Raw genomic sequence first — 21080 nt, 5'->3', positions numbered from 1 at the left:
ACTTCTAATTTTTTTTTTTTTTTCGCTTTTCCCTCCAGGGAAAAAACCTCACCTACACAGGAGTGCAGTGGTGTAATCACAGCTCCTGTTAACCTCAAACTCCTGGGCTCAAGTGATCCTCTCACCTCAGCCTCCCAAGTAGCTAGGATTACAGGTGTGTGCCACCACGCCTGGCTAATTTTTAAAGTTGTTTTCCTTTTTTTTTTTTTTTTTTTTTTTTTTTTGTGGAGATGGGGTCTTGTCATGTTGCCAGGTCTGGTTTTGAACTCCTGGCCTCAAGTGATCCTCCTGCCTTGGCCTCCTAAACTGCTGGAATTACAGGCATGAGCCATTGCACCCAGCTGAAAAACCTCAATCTTTTACAGTTCAGAATTCCACTGTTCTGTGTACCCCAAATTTTAAGCTCCCTTCTTTTCTGAATTTATCAGTAACCAAATTAGATAATTGTCACAATATAAAACCAGTGAGAGCTTTGGACAAAATGTAAATTAACTATAATCTTTTTAGATTGTTAGATGTTTAATGTCTTGTGGATTAAAAAAAATCTACTTGATAGTTATTAACTGAACTTTTTCAAAATGACTCTGTTAGAAGACTTAATTCCTAACATTTATTGAGAGATAACTTTCTGCTGGGCACTGTTTTAAGCACTTTGCCTGTGTCATCTTATTTTTTGCCCCAACAACTTGATAGATGTGCCATTGTCGCCTGCCTTTTTTTTTTTTTTTTGAGATGGAGTCTCGCTTTGTCATCCAGGCTGGAGTGCAGTGGCACAATCCCGGTTTATTGCAACCTTTGCCTCCTGGGTTCAAGTGATTCTAGTGCCTCAGCGACCTAATAGCTGGGACCACAGGCATGCGCCACCACACCCGGCTAAGTTTTGTATTTTCAGTAGAGATGGGGTTTTGCCATGTTGGCCAGGCTGGTCTCAAACTCCTGACCTCAGGTGATCTGCCCACCTAGGCCTCCCAAAATGCTGGGATTACAGGCATGAGCCACTGCTCCCAGCCCACCTGCCTTTTTTTTTTTGATGAGGAAACTGAGGCACGGAGAGATTATACAGCTTGCTAAAATGATAGAGCCAGAATTAGAACCCAGGCTGTTTGACTCTAGGGTCATTCACTACACCAAATGGGTTTTCCCTGTGTCAGAGAAATGTATTGAGGGTCCTATGCTAGATGAACATGGTGAGGCACAGCGGGTCCGAGGCTGGAAAAATGTGCAAGAGGATTTGAAGACAAGGCAGAACAAGGAGAGTCCTGAGATTGGCTGTGGTTTGCCTGAATGCTCTCCTGTAGCAACACCCAGTTTGCCTTTTGAAACTGTCCTTCCTTCTGATGCCGGAAGTGGGCAAATGGCCCAGGCCAGGCCAATCAGAGGAGTCCTTGCACCTCTCAGACCACAGTGATTGGTTCACAAATGGGCAGATAACCAACAGAGGCCAATTAAGCTGATGAGTTTTCATTCTGGAAATTTTATTGCAGTGCTTTAGAAAGAGATCCTGTCTTTTCACTGAATTTAAAGCTGGGAAGATGTAGGCCTGGTGCTGCTGGCAGATATCTTGTCACTGCTAAGATGAGACCCTGCTAGTAAGTGGGGATCATGCAGAGAAAAGCAGAGGTTAGAAATCGGGAAAAAGAGGTGAAGTTCTGATAATATCCCCTGGATCTGGCTATGTCTGAAGGTAGGAGACCCACTCCTCAATTTTTCAGTTATGTGAGCCGCCCTCCTTTTTTCCCTCCCCTCGTCTCTCTCCCCTCCCCTCCCTTCACTCTCTTTCTCCCTCCTCATCTTCCTATCTCCCCTCTTCCCTTTGCGCATCCCCTCCCTCCCTCTCCCCCCATCTCCTTTATTCTCCCCACTCCCTTCTCCTTCCCTACCATTATTTGCAGCTGAAGGAATTCTAGCATAAATGGTGATTAGATTTGGGAACTCTCCGATCTGGCAGGTTCCTCATTTCTGCCCTTGGCTGGAAGGGAGAACTGTTCAACTCTATAAGGGTACAGAACCAGGTGGGTGGGGGCAGTGTTAGGTGTGTGTGGGTGTCTTCTGAACATCTCAAAGAAAACCACTGAGAAAGGGCCTTTGGTTGTTGATGGTCCCTGGGAGGCAGAGCCGTGGAACCATGGACCAAGCCACTGTTGGTGTATCAGAGAAATTCGTTAAACTGTGTTAAGCGTCTGTAACGATGCTGCTCGCTGGGCCCAGAGAGTTGAGGATCAGGTGCGGGCGTGTGATGATACATAGCATGTCTTCTGCTATTGAACATATTCTAATAAATGGGCCTCTGCCTTAAGAGTCTAGATGTTAGAGTGATTAATTTGCTTAGTTTCATGCCCTTGAGGGAAGAAATTAGAAATCTCAGCAAGTGCTTTTATCAAAAACTTACCTACCCTGGTATGAAATTATAACATTCCATGCTGTACCTTGTAGGAATCAATCCTAAAAAAAGATGGCAATGGAGATAGAATGAGAATTGCTTCCATTGTCAGATATGAAATGACAGATAGCTTTCTATATAAGCTTTGCACATATAGAGCTATGTAGCTTCCTTACAGCAAGGTACAAAATAGATGTCTGTGTCTACTAAAGGCCTGTGACCTTTAGTGAGATTTTCTGAGCTGGTGTCCAAATGAATGTTTGTGAAGAATTCTTTGAGAAGGCTTTCTTTTGCCTGCCTGGTGGGAGAACATCATTATTATTAAGGTAAAATGCACACTATCCTAATAAATATATTAATGTCTCTCAATTTATGACTAATGATATTTGTGGTATCCACCCACCTCCATTTCTACTTCTGCCAAAATGCAAGCCATTATGGTAGCTGGCTGATGTGCACTTTCTTACATTATCTGCTCATTGTTAAATTGATAAGTGGTACATGTGAATAGTCCTCTCATTGTCCCCAAAAGATATTGAATACTTATTTTCACCAAAAGCATATTTATAATACTTTGCTAAACATTTGACAAAACTATATCCTGTTTATTATGAATGCTATTGGCAGTAACCAAGATCACTAGCTTGAAGGCCAAGAGGAGGAGTTTATTTTAAAATACTGCTTCTTTGAATAGTTATTTATAGTAAGATGATACTACTTGATTTCGTATAACTTATTTTATTGGAAGATTACACTCTAATCTAAAAGGTTTGTGAAACAGAGTTTTCTTTTCTGCCTCCTGAAGTTGGTTCTAGAAAAATTCTCGCTGCATTGTATCAGGCAAAAGCCCACACTCTCACTCACATTTTCTGGTGATGTGCCATTTTCTAAATATGTCCTGCCTGTTCCAAAATGAATATCAATAGCTGGAAGCAGTTGGAGAATGTTAATTTAGCACTTGTGTTACAGAGTGGCATTCAGTTTCCTAGATTGTGTCCTGTTCCCACGTGGGCTTTTCAAGTGATTTATTATCTTTTTCAAGCAAAGCATCCAACACGAATAAGGCCAGACCTGTTACTGCACTGGTTGGCAGTTATGTCAACCTTTGTCTTGAAGCCTGATATGAAATTTGGTCTGTAGAAAGTTGGCAGACATAGGCTATTTTCAGACTGTAGTTTTAGTCATCTAGTTCAAGATATTTTTTGACTAATAAATTATCTCTAAAAAAAATCCAGTCCTCCTGTATAATCTCTATTTTTAACTTTCAGGGTCTGGATGTAGGTTACTTGGACAGGTGGTTTAGAAAGTCCATTAATGGTCATCCCTAACAGTGGTTTTTAAACTTTTTAGACCTTGCACTTTGATCAGTAAAAAATGATTTATAAATGACATGACATACCACTGTGCAGGAATATATTATATAAATTAATTTAGATTTGTGTCTGTTATGTATTTTCTATAACAGATGAAACCTAGAAATTGAAAGGATTTTATGGAAAAACACATAGTTCCAATATTTTCTTCTTGTGGCCCAATGCACTCCACTTTGGAAGCTACTGATTTAGAAAACAAAACATTATTCAGTACATGCAAATGGTTCTTTTGGAGCTATCACACTTATCCTAGTTTGATTTTTGAAAAATGTGGTTTTTAGTAAACTTCAGAATAAATGTGTCTTGAGTACAACTTCTGGTCACGATCAATTGCTATCAGTTATCTGTTTCAGTTATCTATTATGGGAGTGTGGTAACCAATTAACCAGGACAAGATTCTACAATTTCATTATGAAATATTTAAGACATACAAAAGTATAAAATGTAATATGACAAATGTGCATGTTTTAATCCACCACCTTAAAAAAGTTACCTTCCAGCTGAGTGCGGTGGCTCCGGCCCGGAATCCCAGCACTTTGGGAGGCCAAGGCGGGTGGATCACTTGAGATCAGGGGTTCGGAACCAGCCTGGCCAACATGGCGAAACCCCGTCTCTACTAAAAATACAAAATTAGCTGGATGTGGTGATGCATGCCTGTAATCTCAGCTACTTGGGAGGGTGAGGCAGGAGAATCGATTGAGCCCGGGAGGTGGAAGTTGCAGTGAGCTGAAATCGCGCCATTGCACTCCAGCCTGGGCAACCAGAGTGAAACTCCATCTCAAAAAAAAAGAAAAAGAAAAAGAAAAAAAAGTCATCTTCCTCCTACAGAGATCCACTATTCTGATCTGCCTTTTTAAATTTCCATGTAACTATAGACCTATGTTTGGGTCCTAAACAGTGAGTTACTATTTCACTTTTTTTTTTTTTTTTTTTTTTTGACGGAGTCTCTGTCACCCAGGCTGGAGTGCAGTGGTGCAATCTCAGCCCACTGCAGCCTCCACCTCTCAGGTTCAAGTGGTTCTCCCACCTCAGCCTCTCGAGTAGCTGGGATTACAGGCGCCCCCCGCCCCTGACCACCCCCAAATTTTTGTATTTTTAGTAGAGACAGGGTTTCTCCATGTTGGCCAGGCTGGTATTGAACTCCTGACCTCAAGTGATCCTCCTGTCTTGGCCTCCCAAAGTGCTGGGATTACAGGCATGAGCCACCACACCCAGCCTGTTTTGAACGTTTTAAACTTTATGCAGTACCTACATACAATATATAGCATACATTTGACTACAACTATTTTTTTTTCGCCCTCTAAATGTGGTTGATTATGGGTAAATCTAGTTCATTCATTCCCACAGCTGCATTCTCTAAAGTTTGAGAATGCCACAGTATATCCATTCGTCTATAAGTGACTTTTAGGTTCTCTCTTGCTTTTCTTTTTTTTTTTTTTTTAAACTTTTGTTTTAGGTTCAGGGCTACACATGCAGGTTTGTTTTATAGGTAAGCTGTGTGCCATGGGGGTTTGGTGTACAGATTATTTCATCACCCAGATATTATACTTAGTACCCGGTAGTTGTTTTTTCTGATCCTCTCCCTCCTCCTTTCTTCCACTGTCAAGTAGGTCCCAGTGTCCCTTGTTCCCCTCTTAGTGTCCATGTGTTCTCATTGTTTAGCCCCTACTTGTAAGTGAGAACATGTAGTATTTGGTTTTCTGTTCCTGCATCAATTCACTTAGGATAATGGCCTCCAGGTCCATCAATGTTGCTGCAAAGAACATAATCTCATTCTTTTATATGGCTGCCTAGTATTCCATGGTGTATATGTATAACATTTTCTTCATCCAGTCTACTGTTGATGGGCATTTAGGTTAATTCTATGTCTTTGCTTTTGTGGGTAGTGCTGCAGTGAACATATATGTGCATGTGTCTTTATGACAGAACAATTTATATTCCTTTATGTATATATCCAATAATAGGATTGCTGGGTCAAATGATAATTCTGTTTTAAGTTCTTTGAGGAATCACCACACTGCTTTCCACAAAGGATGAATTAACTTACACTCCCACCAGCAGTGTATAAGTGTTCCATTTTCTCTGCAACCTTGCCAGCATCGGTTAATTTTGATTTCTTAATAATAGCCATTCTGACTGGTATGAGATGGTATCTCACTGTAGTTTTGATTTGCATTTATCTATTGATTAGTGATGTTGTTTTTTCTATTCCAAATAATCCTGCTAGGGATTTTAAAAATAAAAATTTGTTGATGTTTTCTTAGAATATACTTAGGAGTAGAATTGCTAAATTGTAAGATGTGTACTTTATTGCATTCATGAGATACTCCCACCATTGTCCATATGAATCTCCCTTGCTCCTTGTCCTTGTTTACACTTGGTATTGTCAGACTTTTTTTTTTTTTTGCCAATTTGGTGGATGTGAAATAATATCGCATTGTGGCTTTATTTTTTTGTAAACTGTTTATTGGCTTTTTTGATTTTATTTTCTGTAACTTGCTTATTCATATATTTTGCTGTTTTCTTTTTTTCTTTCTGAGTTTTATACATTCTATATATATTCAGGATACTAACCAGTTATCTATTATAGATGCCTGCGACCTGTCTTCACTTTTAAAAAATGTTGTCTTTTAATGAACAGAACTTTCATATATAAAGCTTCCATATATCAATGGGTCTATTTCTCCACACTCTATTTTTTGGTCATGTACTAATAATCTAAATTGCTTTGACTGGATAATAAGTATTAGTTATGGCAGAATAAGTGCTTCCCTATCTTACTCATCTAATGTAAAATTATTTTCTTCAATCTTGCTTAGTTTTTTATGCCTCATTTAAAAAATTGAATGGGCAACCAAGAATCATTGGACATTTTCTGAAAACAAAACAAAACTCCAAAACACAACTTCAATATGAAAGCAAGAGACGAAGATAAACAGAAAAAATAAAGTTTAGCATCCACAAAGTACTAATATGCATAAAGCAATATTATTTAGGACTAATCCTTACTCATTTGCAAAATATCCCTAAATTTAGCAGTGTTAACAAATCAGCCTTACTATGACCCATTTATTTACTTAATATATTTTATTGGGAAACTCAAAATTGTATCCTTTTTTTTTTTGGAGACAAGGTCTTGCTCCATCACCCAGGTTGGAGTATAGTGGTCAGAAACTGGCTCACTGCAATTGATGCTTGTCCAGATGAATAAGTAGCATACTAGAAGTATAGTAAGGTTTTGTTGTCATTATTGTTGTTGTTTATTTGCCTGGTATCTCTGTTACTTGGCTGTGTTATAAAACAGAATATAAATTTTTATTTTGCTTATGCGAATTTTTTTCTGTGATCCTTGTCTTTTCTGATCATTCTTTTATAGTGAATATGTATATTATTTTTATAGATAGAATGGGAAATTTTTTTAAAGAAAGTTTTAACTAGAATTTTTCTGATAATTAAGTTTTATTCTAGAAATTCTTGTAAGGTGAACTTGAATTTTTTTTGGATTCATTGTAAAAAAAAGTCAATTTCCCTTATAAAAAGTCATCCATATATTTTTTACTTTTATGACCTCCAATTAGTCCCCCGCCCCAGAGGTAACAGCCTTATTTTTTTTTCTTCATACTATATATACTTCTTGGTTAACTACTTGTTCTCTCATATGGATTATTTATATATTCAGGATGTTAACCTTTCATCATGTTATAATATTTCCTCAACTTTTCATTTGTCTTTTACCTCTGTTTATGAACTTTCTTACCACCTACATTTAAAATTTTTGTTATGACTATTTAATGACATATGTAAATAACCTCTATCTCAAGATCATAAAACATACTTAATTTTGTTTCAGTACCCCTATACTTTTTATTACATTTTTTATTTTTTAAATATATTATGAATATTCTAGATATATAAAGAATGAGATATTTAGCACCTGTGAACCCACCAGGTGATTCAGGAATAAACTATAATCTATCCTCCTAAACTTCGTGGGTGTTCCTCCCCAGTTGCATTTCCCTCCTTTTGCCGCAGAGGTAGCCCCTCTGCCAAAGTGGTGAGACAGTTGTCCCCATTTTTAAAATATATAACACTCTTATTAAAGTCTAACTTCTTACAGAAACTTGGTTCTGTTTCTGGTCCCTCTAGTTTGTTCTGTTTAGTTGTCTCTACATTTTGGCACCCGTAACATGTTCTTTTATTTAAGGCGGGGCAGCTCCTCTTATATTATTCTTCCTTTTTACAATTTTCTTGGCTAGTTTCACTTATTTACACACACACACACACACACACACACACACGCACACACACACACACACAGGTTCAGTGACCTGCGATAGAAAATAAAACCATTCTTTGTCTTCCTTCTTCACATCTGGCTCTGATGGGAAGTACCATATCACCTCCTCTCCTTGAAAAAGAATTGTTGCTTCTTCCATCACGATATAGTGTAGTGGATGTAACCTGTCATTAGCCTGCTAAAAAACATTTTGCAACTTAAATGCTGTCTAGGAGGACGAGGCAGATAAATGTAGGAAAAATCTCAACAACACTGGCTTTCTGTAATTCTTGCTTGAACACCTGTAGGCTTGGCTTAGGTAACCCATATATGTATATCATCCTTCCCTTTGCTTCCCCGCTCCCACAGTCCAAGTCCCTTCTTACAGATCTTGCTGACCTGAGTTATTTTGAAAACACACCTCAGACCTTCATTCATGTGGAAAATCTGTAGCTTTGGAAGTGGAAATATTAACAAGCAGGGAAAAAAAATGGAATAGTTTAGAGAATTGCCACTTAAAGTGTGGTCTGCAGGTGGCAGTGTCACCATCACTTAGAAGTTTGTTAGAAATGCAGATTCTCAGGCTCCACTCCAATCCTACTGACTCAGAGGCTGCATTTTAACAAGTCACGCTTGAGAAGTTTTGCTTTAAAAATCAGAATCCTAGGCAAGGTTGACCTGCCTCAGAAGTGTCCACTCCTCCTCTAATCTTTAAAAAGTAACTGAAGCGTAGGGGTGGGTGGGTGTTGACAATATTGTACATACTCCATGCAATTTGAGGCTTTACCAGTGAGAGATTAATTTGAGTTAATGTAATTAATTGAAACATTCGTCTTTAAAGAACAACCAGCTGGGCACGGTAGCTGATGCCTGTAATCATAACACTTTGGGAGGCCAAGGCGGGCGGATCACTTGAGGTCAGGAGTTCGAGACCAGCCTTGCCAACATGGCAAAACCCTATCTCTACTAAAAATACAGAAATTAGCTGGGCTTGGTGGCATGTGCCTGTAATACCAGCTACTCGGGAGGCTGAGGCAGGAGAATTGCTTGGACCTGGGAGGTGGAGGTTGCAGTGCACTCTAGCCTGGGCAACGGAGTGAGACTCCATCTCAAAAAAAGAAAAAAAGAAACAACTGGGAGAATGAAGGGTTGTTACCGGCTACTGGCTATTTGTATTGCCAGTATGATTATTAGACACTGTTGATGCTGATGATTATTAGACTCTGTTGCTATATTCTATAAGGACACGTTTAGCAAGAGAAGAGAAAGTAATTTTGTAACATGGACACTTAGGGAATAGGCTAGGCCTGGATTGGAGGGGGCTGTCAGGGAAACATGACATTTATTTAGTAAGAAGAGGAATTAGAGGGTGAGATAAAGGTAGCATGGGGGTTTTGCTCAGAAATGAGAAAATCTTCCCTTTTCCTGCTTTTATGTTGTGATAATTTGTATGCTCAATATCCAGTATTATTCTTTTAATCTGACTTTTCAAGTTTAACCTGGAAAGTTAATTGCCACTTCCAATATTGTTTCTGTTTACAAATACATAGCAGCCATTTCCTGCATGTAGGGTTCCCTAAGAAGAGTCAGACGCTGAAACCAACATTAGAATGAATGACTGTAAGCGCATCATAGAAGTATTGACTTGAGCCTCCGTGTCTTCCTTTTTCACAGGATTACAAGGAGGATTAAATGGAATCTGCAAGAAAGCCCAGAAAGCTCTCAATAAATAGCAGCTCCTCCTCCCCTTCCCTCCCTCCTTCCTCTCCCTCCCCCTCATCCTATACCAAGCAGTTTGATTCCAGATTCTGTAGAGGCTAATAATACTAAGAATAGCAGTAGTGGTAGAAATATTTATAAGGTGCAAAGATAAGGAGGAAGTAATTTTGTATTGGAAGAGATATTTGGGGTTCCAAGGGAATAGCTTTAAGAATGCATATGCAGAGTTTTGAGAATTGTCTTCATTTAAATTATAATAATTTACAATTTACTGAAGACAAGCTAGGCTGAAATTTATCCTAAACCATTTCTTTGGGAACCCCTAACAACAGCTTTAGGAGTTAAAGCTGACATCAACTGGTACTTGTGGTAATCCCTAGCAGGAGGTTCAGGGTTACCAAGTGACATGGCAGCAGGCTTGGTACTAGTATGCATTCTAGTCTAGCAAGTCTGAAAACTAAGACGGTTGGAGTTATCAGAGATCAGAAAAGAAGTTAAAGATCAGAAAATCGAGGAGTCAACAAAATTTGAAAGAATATTCTTAAAACACTTCTTTATCACTCTCATCATAGAACTTCAGTAGCTCCTTCTGCCTGGCTGATTTTTCAAGGTATTGCCAGACTGGCCCAAAGCCCATTTCTAGCTCACCTTATGCTTTTACCCATTTTTCTGCCTATTCAGTAATTCCCCTGGAGATGACACTTTCTACTTTTTCCAGCTGTCTAAAATCATAATCATCAATTAAGATCTGCTTCAAATCTCACTTCCCTTTCCTCTCTAAACTCTTCTGGAGAATTTCAAACAATCTGAATTCCTGCTGGCCAACCCTCTCACCAGCTTCAGTATTATTTTTGCACCTGCTTCTCTATGCATTTCCTATGTCTCTTCCCTGTGAATATTTTGGAAGTGCCCTGAGGGCTGGGAAAGCTATAATTTGATGTTTTTATAAGTTCATACTTACAAGTAGTAATTTCTTAATGTAAAAGGTAACCCTTGCTAGCTAAACTTTTATCCCTGGATTATCTAAACCCAGGGACAGAATGGATTTGGATAACATTTTGGAGAGGGAAATATTTGGAGGAAAGTCATTGAAGTGTAAATATTTTCATTGTGGCTTAATTCAAGCCAACAACCTGAGGTCTCAGGATGGGGAAGCCAGCTCTAGCACACTGCTGAAAGGGATCCTCCACTTTCCAACTCTTTATTCAAATCTCTGGAGCCAAATATTAATAGATTTGGGTAACACTGTTTTCCTCACTGTCAACCTCATGGATGGAGTAGGGAGAGTCATTTATACTTGATCACTGGATTCTGCTGGTATATAGGTGTGACAAAGAAAATTCTTAGCCATTAGGTAAATATGGTCGTTTCTAAAAAATATTCTTAACAGCCAGTCTGTTAGAGAAACAATTAAAAGGTTATGGGATTGGATGTGAACATAACTTTGTAGCTACATATTTGGACAGCCTGTGAAAGCAATTTCTTTGAAGGACTGTGAATAGCAAATGTTCAATAAATATTGGCCAGATGACTGATAGAAGAAAAGGGCTAAAGAAAGGGGAATGATTGCATTGTACATCCAGTGGAATTGCATGAGGCTAAAGGAATAGAAAACAAGAAATGGTGGGGCTTCATTTTCATTTTCTGTCCTTTTGGATCAGTGGTCCAGATCAGTTTCCTAACTGTGCCATGCAAATACGTGTCCAGAACGGCCACGTATTTGCATGGCACAGTTAGGAAACATGAGTTTATTTAAACTTAATATAAGCACAGGAATTTGTAGAGAAAGTTTACTAATCTTTATCATGGAAAAGCAAAAGTTAAGGCAGGTTCCCTAAAGTAAGATTAGGCTTACAAGCAGTAGAAAAAATGGTGACTTTACCTCAAGAGCACCCTAAAAATCATGATGTAAGCTGGGCCCAAATTGTCCTAGGCACATGGTTATTTTTAAATCCATGATTCCTACTTCGGAGGACTAAGAACACTGAATCCAGCATTATTTTAATTATTTGAATTTGGATTCCTAATTAAAGCTAACTACTGCTTCACAGATTAATCTAGATAAGAAAGTTAAAGCAATTCTGTTGCCTTTAATAAACACCTCTGAATCTGGAAGGAGACTAGATTAGCCAAAATCTTATTTTATAACTTGAAGTTCTAAAAAGCAATAGCAAATCAGCCCCTTAGCATTTCCCAAAATATTCCAATCCATCTGCTTAAAAAAATTACTGCCAAATACTTTAATTTGTTAGAAATAAAATACTTTACTCTTAAAGCTATGCTTTGAGTTGTTCATTCTCCATTGAGGTGCATGTAGAACCCTACCTCTCCAGGAGAGCATATTAGGATTACAGGCAAGTAAGGGTATTGCTATCCCCTTCTTTTTTTGAAACAGAGTCTTGTACTGTCACCCGGGCTGGAGTGCAGTGGCGCGATTTCGGCTCACCTCCACCTCCTGGGTTCAAGCGATTCTCCTACCTCAGCCTCCTGAGTAGCTGGGATTATAGGTGTGCGCCACCATTCCTGACTAATTTTTTGTATTTTTAGTAGAGACAGGGTTTCACTGTGTTAGGCCAGGCTGGTCTCGAACTCCTGACCTCGTGATCCGCCCACCTCGGCCTCCCAAAGTGCTGGGATTACAGGCGTGAGCCACCGTGCCTGGCCACTGTCCCCTTCTTTAAGCGAAGATTTTTACAAGCACAGTCTTATCCTATTTGGAGGTTTATCATCCTTTTTCCTAACATGAGCTTAAAAATACTATCATTACACTAACCTTTTGCCTCCTCTGAATTCTTACGGGTTTGAGCATGGCCAATGGGATAATTATAGACTGAATTTTTGCCTCTTGTTTGTAAAATCCTGGGAGTTATACTTTAGGTTTTCCTTTGGCTTTTCCCCTTTCTTGCTTATTTGGTATATAGTAGAAAGAGGATTGAATGTCTCAGCTTAGTCACCAAAAACCTGTAATTTGATATCTTGAAAGGAAACAGGATCTGCTTTAGTTTTGGTGGCATCTTCATGATTAGTAAAACAGAACAAAACAAAAATATTGATGATACTTAAGTTATCATTCTAACTCCCAGCGTTACTATTGAACCCTAGTTCTACCTGAAATTTTTTCCCCTCCTATGTAACCTATGTAGTTTTTCAGATGGGAATTCTGGGGTATGTTTAAAGGCCCTAAAATGAGAGTTAAGATGAGGCAATAACAGCTGGTGATAAAGTGGCAGCATATGCTTTCTTAGGTGCCATTTTCCTAATGTTTTATGTTGAGAGATCCAAAATGAAATTGGAAGCAGTTGAGATGATAATGGCCGCAAAAGTGGGTAGCAATTTTAATGTATTCCTATTCAGAAGTATTGGTTAAACCATTTCCAGAAAAAAAAAAAAAGGAAAAGCTGGAAGATGGAAAGATGGATTTGAAAGTAAAATAAAAGGACCTGAGTTTTCATAGGTGGAGGAAGGAGAATGGGAAAGTAGATCAAAATAGTACTTACTTTCAGTTCCTTTGTATGAAGCTTTCAGCATAGTTTGATTTGCATTTTCTGGGTCAAGGTGAAGCCCAGATATTGAATGTTGCTAGTTGGGCTCGTTGCCCCTGTGGATTTTCAGGGAAAGGAAGATCACTGTACAGGCTGCCACCTGGTTGTAGCAGTATAAAGGGTAGAAGGTTTCAGAGTGAGGCAGATTATAACAAAAAACAGTGTTATCTAATAGAATTCAAAGAACAAAGAGATCAGGTAGTTCAGTTAATCACCTTGGAAATAGTTTCACTTTGTAATATAAAATACAATATTATATAAGCAAGTTTAAAACAATGATGAAAAAATTAGCACTTTCTCTGCAATTACTACTGTTATAGTCATAATGCAAACGAATGCCACTCTGCATTAGTATTCTCAAAAAGCCCAGCCTTGTAGTTTTGAAATTTCATTTCTATTAAAATTTCCCCTTTGCAGTTGGAATTTTTCTTTTCTTTTTCTTTTTCCTTTTTCTTTCTTTCTTTTTTTTTTTTTTTGCAGGGTAGAGGGTGGTGGTGGGTGGTGTGCAGCCTGACTTGCGTGACGAATCTACATTGGATCTGTTTCAGTCCATTCCCAAACATTCTAGGCACTGAGGCAGCTCTGTGGTATTTTTAGAGAACTCATCTCTCACTCAGTAGTAACCCATGCTAACAGTTACAATTGATAATGCAATCACCTGTTACAATAATTACTGCTGCTTCTCTCCTAATCTCATGTGAAAGAGGTTGAGACACCCCTTCTGTTATACACCCAACAGGGTTTTTGATGCTATCACTAGTGACCATTAGAGAAGAAAGCACTGGGTTATTGGATGTCCCTATGACTAATTGCCACTTAGTGACTACAGAACTTACAAGTTAAATTTCTACCAAGACTCAGAAGCCCTGGCATACTACCACTGGGGAATGGGGGAGTTTGCAGTTTCTTTCACTGCTGGTGTGAGTGGAGGGCACTTCTCTCTTGTATTGGAGTCTCCCCGGACCAGGGGATAATGAATAAGTGAGAGTTTGTTTCTTTCATCAGGCATTTGTACACATTTGTTTCATCTCCTTAGGCCACTCTCTTAAGGCTTTCCCTTGCGTTTTATTTTCTAGTCTTTGTTGTTGAGATGAAAAAGTACAGTTGTTTTGACCTGACTTGTGTCCAAGATTACTCAGAATTGTTAAGTGCCTTGAAAGATCATTTCATTTTGTTCAACATCTTTTTTCGGGGGGAGGGGTGGGTGCTTGGGAGCTGCTTCAGAGATTTACAAGTTTATAATTTACTAAAAATTTCAAAACCGTCTGCTTTGTAAATAAGTGGGCTTAAAGGAAGACCTGTTAATAAAAAAGATACCTGTTTTGGTTATGTTTCTGAGAAGGAATGATTATATTAGGTTTTAAGATTCTGTTCACCTAAGATCTGATTAAAGCATCACCAGAAATTGGCCGTCTGGAAAGCACTATTAATGGATCCAGAAATGTCATTGTCATCTTGATCATATAATAGAATTTGCATTGAAGAAAAATATGGTGGGCTGAGTAGAATTCAAAGTCTATGAAAAACTCAGAGTTCCTTAATTTTATTCTTTCTTTAGGTCAATTTATTGCACATATCATTTTTAATTACTATTTTTCCCCTTTCCCATTTTCCCCCATCAAAATTTACATTATGATAGACTGCTTTTCAATACATTTTGAAATATAAATTGAATGATTACATAAAAAATAACAATCCAGGTTTTATTATTATAACTTTTTGCCTTTATAAAATTTTTGCCTTTCTTTAATATGATTCAAATTATGTTATGAAGAGGAAAAAACCTGTTTCTAAATGTGTACATATATGTATACATATATGTATACGCACACACACATATATATATGAGTACAGAAAAGGTCTGACAGGATGCTCACATATTGATGGACATTTGGGTTTTTTCCAGTTATGAGTTATTACAAATAAAGCTGCTAGTGAACATTTGTACATAAGTGATATGGTTTGGCTGTGTCCCCACCCAAAATCTCATCCTGAATTGTAATCCGCATGGTTCCTGTGGTCCCCATAATCCCCGTGTGTCAGGCGAGAGACCAGGTGGAGGTGGTTGAATCATGGGGATGGTTCCCCCATGCTGTTCTCATGACGTTGAGTGGGTTCTCACGAGATCTGATGGTTTTGTGGGTGTCTGGTGGTTCCTCCTGCATTCATTTTCCCTCCTGCCACCTTGTGAAGAAGGTGCCTTGCTTCCCTTTAACCTTCTGCCATGAATGTAAGTTTCCTGAGGCCTCCCCCGCCATACTGAACTGTGAGTCAATTAAACCTCTTTCCTTTATAAATTACCCAGTCTTGGGCAGTTCTTGATAGCAGTGTAAAAATGGACTAATACAATAAGTCTTTGTGTGGATATGTTTTCATTTCTCTGGAGTAAATAATTAGGAGTGGAAAAGCCGAATGGCATGGTGTGTGTATGAAAATGGTTTTCCAAAGTGTTTGTGCCATTTTGTACTCTGATCAGCAATGTATGACATTTACAGTTGTTCTCTACCCTTGTGAGCATTCAGTATTGGCTGTCTTAAATTTTGGTCATCCTAGTAATGGGTGTGTAGTAGTATAGTATCTTATTGTGGTTTTTCAGTAGTTCCTTGTTCATTGTCTTCATGCCAGACTTTGGTTTGTAATGTAATTCTTCTGACATGTTTTTAATCTCTGTTGCTTCTTGCCTGCCTGCCTGCCTTTCTTTCTCCCTCCCTCCCTTTCTTCCTTCCTATCAGGCTGTGCACTTATCCATGTATGCTTTCTTTTTGTTATTACCCATCTTCAACTGAAGGCCATTTTATCTATTACAACTGTTTACTCAAGAATTGAATGGGGAGGAGACAGAGAGTGAGTTGGGCCAACATCATCATTAATTCAGGCATTTTATCTCAGAATATTTTCTCACGTAATTAATTTGATCCTGTGCTGTGCTGTGTCTCCATTTAGGAGTCTCTTTATTAGGCTGGAGATGGTGGCTCACACCTGTAATCCTAGTACTTTGGGAGTCCGAGGTAGGAGGATCACTTGAGGCCAGAAGTTTGATACCAGCCTGGGCAACATAGTGAGAGCCTATCTCTCCAAAAAAAAAAAAAAAAAAAAAAAAAAAAATTGCCAGGTGTGGTGATGCATGCTTGTAGTCCCAGTTACTTGGGAGGCTGAGGTGGGAGGATCATTTGAGCCCAGGAGGTTAAGGCTGCAGTGAGCCAGTTATGGCACCACTGTACTCCAGCCTGGGTGACAGACCAAGACCCTGTCTCACAAACAAAAACAAAACAAGACAAAAAACAATTGAGATTTTTCCCTGCCCTGGGAGAAAAGCAAAAAATTAGACAGAAATTATATGTTCTCTGCTCTTTAAAAGAAAAAGCTAAATGAATACATGCAAAAAAAAAAAAAAAGGTTTAATCGGTTTTGTTTTTGTATCCTCATTCAATTTGGTTCAATTTTTACTTCATTGGAAATTATTCCTCATGGCTTGTAGATGAGATGGCCTTCTAATTAGGGTGAATATTGAGTCTGTTCTTTTTTGAGTTCTTTTTATTTTGGTTGTCTTTAGGAGGAAAGTCGAATAAAAATGCCTCTCTTCTGTTAACTTCAATCAAAAGTCTTACTTGATATTTCTTAGAGTCTTTTAATTATGCCCATCCCCATAAACTGTTAGTGGCTCTAATGCATCAAGTCTGACTCCTTGGTTTTCTAGATTTTTTAATTCCAGCCTCATTGTCAGCTGAAGAATGATGAGGTTCATAAATTTGGAAAGGAGAGCTTTATTTTTCATAAAGGGTTGCAGCCTGCAGGGTAGCCATTCTGACAGACTGGGAAGCATAGCCTTCCATTGGAGACCAGAAACAAACAATTGGAGGGTGAGAAGAATAAGACAGGGATTCACACTGAAGGAGGTGGAGGAATATTCGTGTTCTGTAAGCAATAGGAGGAGTCATGTGTATTTAGGAAGGGAGAAACATGCGCATGCACAGCTGAGCCTCATCCTTCACCAGGGGACCCATGGTTTTTAACTATGGCGGCATTAGCATGATCCAGGGTGGAATTTTCGGATCTCTGACTTCAAAAGATGAAGCAGAGGATGCAAAACCCCTCCCTGCACATCCTCCGTGGACTGGCCAGAACCACTCTGTGGTCTGTGGTCTCTTATCAAGAAGGAATGCTGGTTGGTTATTTTGTTGAAAACCACAAAAAGGAGGGGCGGTTTCAGGAGGTTGATTGACATCAGGGGTGGAGTGGGGCTTTCCAAAGGGCTGGTTTCTGTTTAATCCTTACGGAGGAAATCCTAATGTTGGTTATGGAGGGAGGGGACATCATGAGGCACGTCTGACCTCCTGTCTGGTCATGGTTGGGAACTGAGTTTTCAAGGATTTCTGGGGTCCCCTTGGCTAACAGGGGGTCTGTTCAGTAGGTTGGGGGGGCTTAGGATTTCATCTTTATTTTTTACTGTATCTATACAACCTAATTTTTAAACCACTCTCCAGTACTCTCCTTTATACTCAAATACTCTAACCTGTACTTTTCCCCCCTTTAACTGTTTTCTTCTCCTCATGCTAAGGCTCATTGGAGTTTCTAAGCCCACTTCTGTATTTCTCATAGTCTACATCTCCCATCTCTCTTCAGCTAAGTCTTCTCAAGCTTTAAGACTCAGCTCAGTGTTACTGCCTCAAAGATGCCTTCCCTGTCTAATCTGATCCGAAGTGGTACTCCTTTTCTGGAAATTTCTCCATCACTTATGTGCAGAATTTAACATTTAATTATACGTATAGTCTTGTGGTGTTTCTTGTGCTGATTTGTTTGTTTGTTTTTTTAGCATTATCTCTCCCAGCTGGACTACTCAGAGAACTACTAGAGAACATGGACCAAATCATTCCTTATTCTGTAAATCCTGCAGTACCTAACATGGAACTGGACATATAATAAATCCTTAATAAACAACTAGTAGTTAATTAGTCATGTGAACATATGAGTTTTAGCCAGTGTGTTTACACTTATCTTTTTTGTTGTTGTTGTTGTTGAGACAGAGTCTTACTCTCTTGCCAGGCTGGAGTGTAGTAGTGCAATCTCGGCTCACTGCAACCTCCTCCTCCTGGGTTCAAGTCATTCTCCTGCCTCAGCCTGCTGAGTAGCTGGAACTACAGGTGCACACCACCACGCCCAGCTAATTTTTGTATTTTTAGTAGAGACGGGGTTTCACCATGTTGGCCATGATGGTCTCGATCTCTTGACCTCGTGATCCACCCGCCTCGGGCTCCCAAAGTGCTGGGATTACAGGTGTGAGCCACCACGCCCAGCCTACACTTGTCATCTTTATCATCTGGTTTCACAGTTTTCCATCTGGAGCTTTTTAGAGTCTTGTATGATTTGCCTCAGTACTAGTAATGCGAAGTCACATATTTTCATCCCCTTGGGGTGTGTGTATGTGTGTGTGTGTGTGTGTGTGTGAGTGAGTGAGAGGGAGAGAGAGAAACAGTTAAGATCCAGAGACTCCCAGCATTATGAGACCTTTCCTTTTCAGAGCCTGGATATTTCAGGTGTAGAATTTAATAGAATTGGTAGAGTGCACAGGAAAGAGATAGTTCCCAATATTTTACTTTTTTAATAATTCTTAGAGACAGGGTTTTGCTCTGTCACTTAGGGATGGAGTGCAGTGGCACAATCATGGCTCACTGCAGCCTTGACCTCCTGGGCTCAAGTGATCCTCCTGCCTCAGCCTCCTAAGTAGCTGAGACAATAGGCATGTGCTGCCACACCCAGCTAATTTTTTAATTTTTTGTAGAGATGGGGTCTCACTATGTTACCCAGGCTGGTCTCGAACTCCTGGGCTCAAGCAGTTCTCCCACCTCAGCCTCCCAAAGTGTTGGGATTACAGATGTGAGCCACTGTGTCCAGCCAGTTCCCAGTATTGTAGAGTATGGTGACTTTTAAGAATTGTGGCTATTATCCCTTTTGATTATTTGTTTAGATCAAATACCATAATGCTTTATTGATAAATACTTTGGCATATTTGGACATACTTCCTAAGTATAGCGTGCTTGTGTATATAATGCTTTTCAGGTTTTGTGTAGTAGCGGGTATGAGTATGCTCTGAGAAAAAGAAGAATAGAAGTGAAAGACCTGGTTATACTTATTTTTAAATGAATCACAGACTTACAAAATTTGTAGAGCTAAGAGGTATCTTGGAAATCATATAGTCCCGCTCCTTCATTTTTAGGGTCGGGAATATAAAGGACCAGTGTGGTTGACTTACATAAGGTCACAGTAGTAGTAAGGAATAGCACAGTACTGTGAATAGGCTGAGATAATCAATTTATATTATTTCTGGATTTTCTGACCCAGTTTGAGGAAAGTATTGTGTATTTGAGAAACTCACACATTCTTAAAAAGTAATTTTTTAAACAGCTTTTCAAAAGATCTTTCATATGCTAAAATATTGAACAACATGCTTGGAGTATAGTTAAGAGGTGACAGTACCATGTAGTGGGCAGGTAGTTAAGAAATCTACATCCTAATTCCAGCTCTGGTACTTACAACCTTGGAAAAAGTCGTCCAGAATGAAGAAAGTCAGTTTGTATTATTCAAAATGAATGGATCAGGCGAGATTCTCTCTGAGGGCCCTTTTAGTTCAAAAATTCTGTGTAAAAGTGAAGCAGTTGTAAGCCATTGAAACTTGATGTGATCAAAGCTTTATGACATCAGAGCAGAGACATATGTGTAGTATCTCTCCAAAACGTATCAGCAGCTCAACATATAGAATTTCATATCTTGATTCCATGCCGTACCTACTCATTAGGCACTGTTGATTCTTTCCAGATACTTTCTATTTCTTAGGCTTAATTTGGATGCTCCTTCTTTGCTTGAAGCTTGGTACAGGAATATGAATACCAGGAATAGATATATATGAAGCAATAAACTTATTTGATAGTCTTTTGGCTCTTCCAAATGAATAGTTCACACATGTGTTAGATGTGTTGGTGTATTAAAGAATGAAGAAAACCCGAGGTTGCTTAAATTTGTAGCATCTTTTACTGTAAGGTACTATAACTGCTCTGTGGGCTAGTTTTGTTGAATTGGTATGTTTTGCTTGATCAATTTCCCTTATTTGATATTCTGGAAAATCTGTAAAAAAGTAAATCCGGAGTTTCTTAGCCAGCCTTACTCTAATTCAAGGAAAGTGTCCCATAAGAGCAGTAAAAAAGAAGACCATCTGGACCCACTTCAGTGTCATTGTACCTTGTCCCCTATCACTGATGCTAGTATATGGTTACTCTTATTTGCTGATTGCAGTGGTCTCCAAGTAATCAATCTGTGACCAGCCTAAGCTCAGACCATGTTTGCAGTGAAGCTTCCCCAACCTTTCTCCAGAAGACATATGGTCAGTCCCAAGGAGCCATTTACAATCCATATACAGAAAGTGCTTATGGAAGATTGTGTAGCAAGGGCAATGTGAAGCCAGTAGTGTGGCAATACTTTCCTTGCTGGGATAAGGTAAATCAGTGATAGGAGATAATGTATATAAGGCTCATAGCTTAGAGTCTGGCTCATTTATAAATGTTCAGTAAATATGTTCTTATTCTGCTTTACAATTTTGCCTTTGGACTTACAACCCTCAAGCAATCATGTATTTTGTTAAGGCTTGGGAAATCTTCTAGAATATTTGACTTAGTGTAGAGTTTTGATATAGTGTCCTTTCTTCTGTTGTTTAACTTAAAGAAGAGCTTAAATGTTTTGTGACTTCAGTATTCCTCATTTTGGGGCTTAGCAATTTAGGGGCATGATTTATATTAAAG

At 38.9% G+C, this 21080-nt stretch overlaps 1 protein-coding gene and 1 long non-coding RNA gene across 15 annotated transcripts in view; one reads left to right on the top strand and one right to left on the bottom strand.

Moving 5' to 3' along the window:
- Window positions 1-21080, top strand: part of HECW2 (HECT, C2 and WW domain containing E3 ubiquitin protein ligase 2) — a 399483-nt gene that overhangs the window by 116383 nt on the left and 262020 nt on the right. For 2 of the 10 annotated variants that reach the window (XM_047445196.1, XM_047445194.1), the window contains exon 1: window positions 1065-1684. The exons of the other annotated variants lie outside the window; for them this stretch is intronic. The gene's annotated coding sequence lies outside the window, so the exon portion shown is untranslated. Of the gene's footprint in view, window positions 1-1064; window positions 1685-21080 lie in introns of those variants that run through there. 10 annotated transcript variants of the gene reach the window in all.
- Window positions 1459-19911, bottom strand: LOC105373821 (uncharacterized). 5 transcript variants are annotated; one of them, XR_007087827.1, is made up of 5 exons: window positions 19825-19911; window positions 13246-13346; window positions 2390-2442; window positions 1881-1992; window positions 1459-1586 (listed from the first exon to the last, which is right to left on the bottom strand). It is a non-coding gene; the product is annotated as an uncharacterized LOC105373821 (long non-coding RNA). The 5 variants fall into 5 exon arrangements; XR_007087815.1 differs by having other exon boundaries at window positions 19822-19907; XR_007087817.1 differs by having other exon boundaries at window positions 1459-1583; window positions 19822-19907.

The sequence above is a fragment of the Homo sapiens genome, chromosome 2 (genome assembly GCF_000001405.40).
Source record: "Homo sapiens chromosome 2, GRCh38.p14 Primary Assembly".
NCBI lineage: Eukaryota > Metazoa > Chordata > Mammalia > Primates > Hominidae > Homo > Homo sapiens.
The sequence above is the reverse complement of the archived record's forward strand: the minus strand, read 5'-3'. Positions and strand labels throughout refer to the sequence as shown.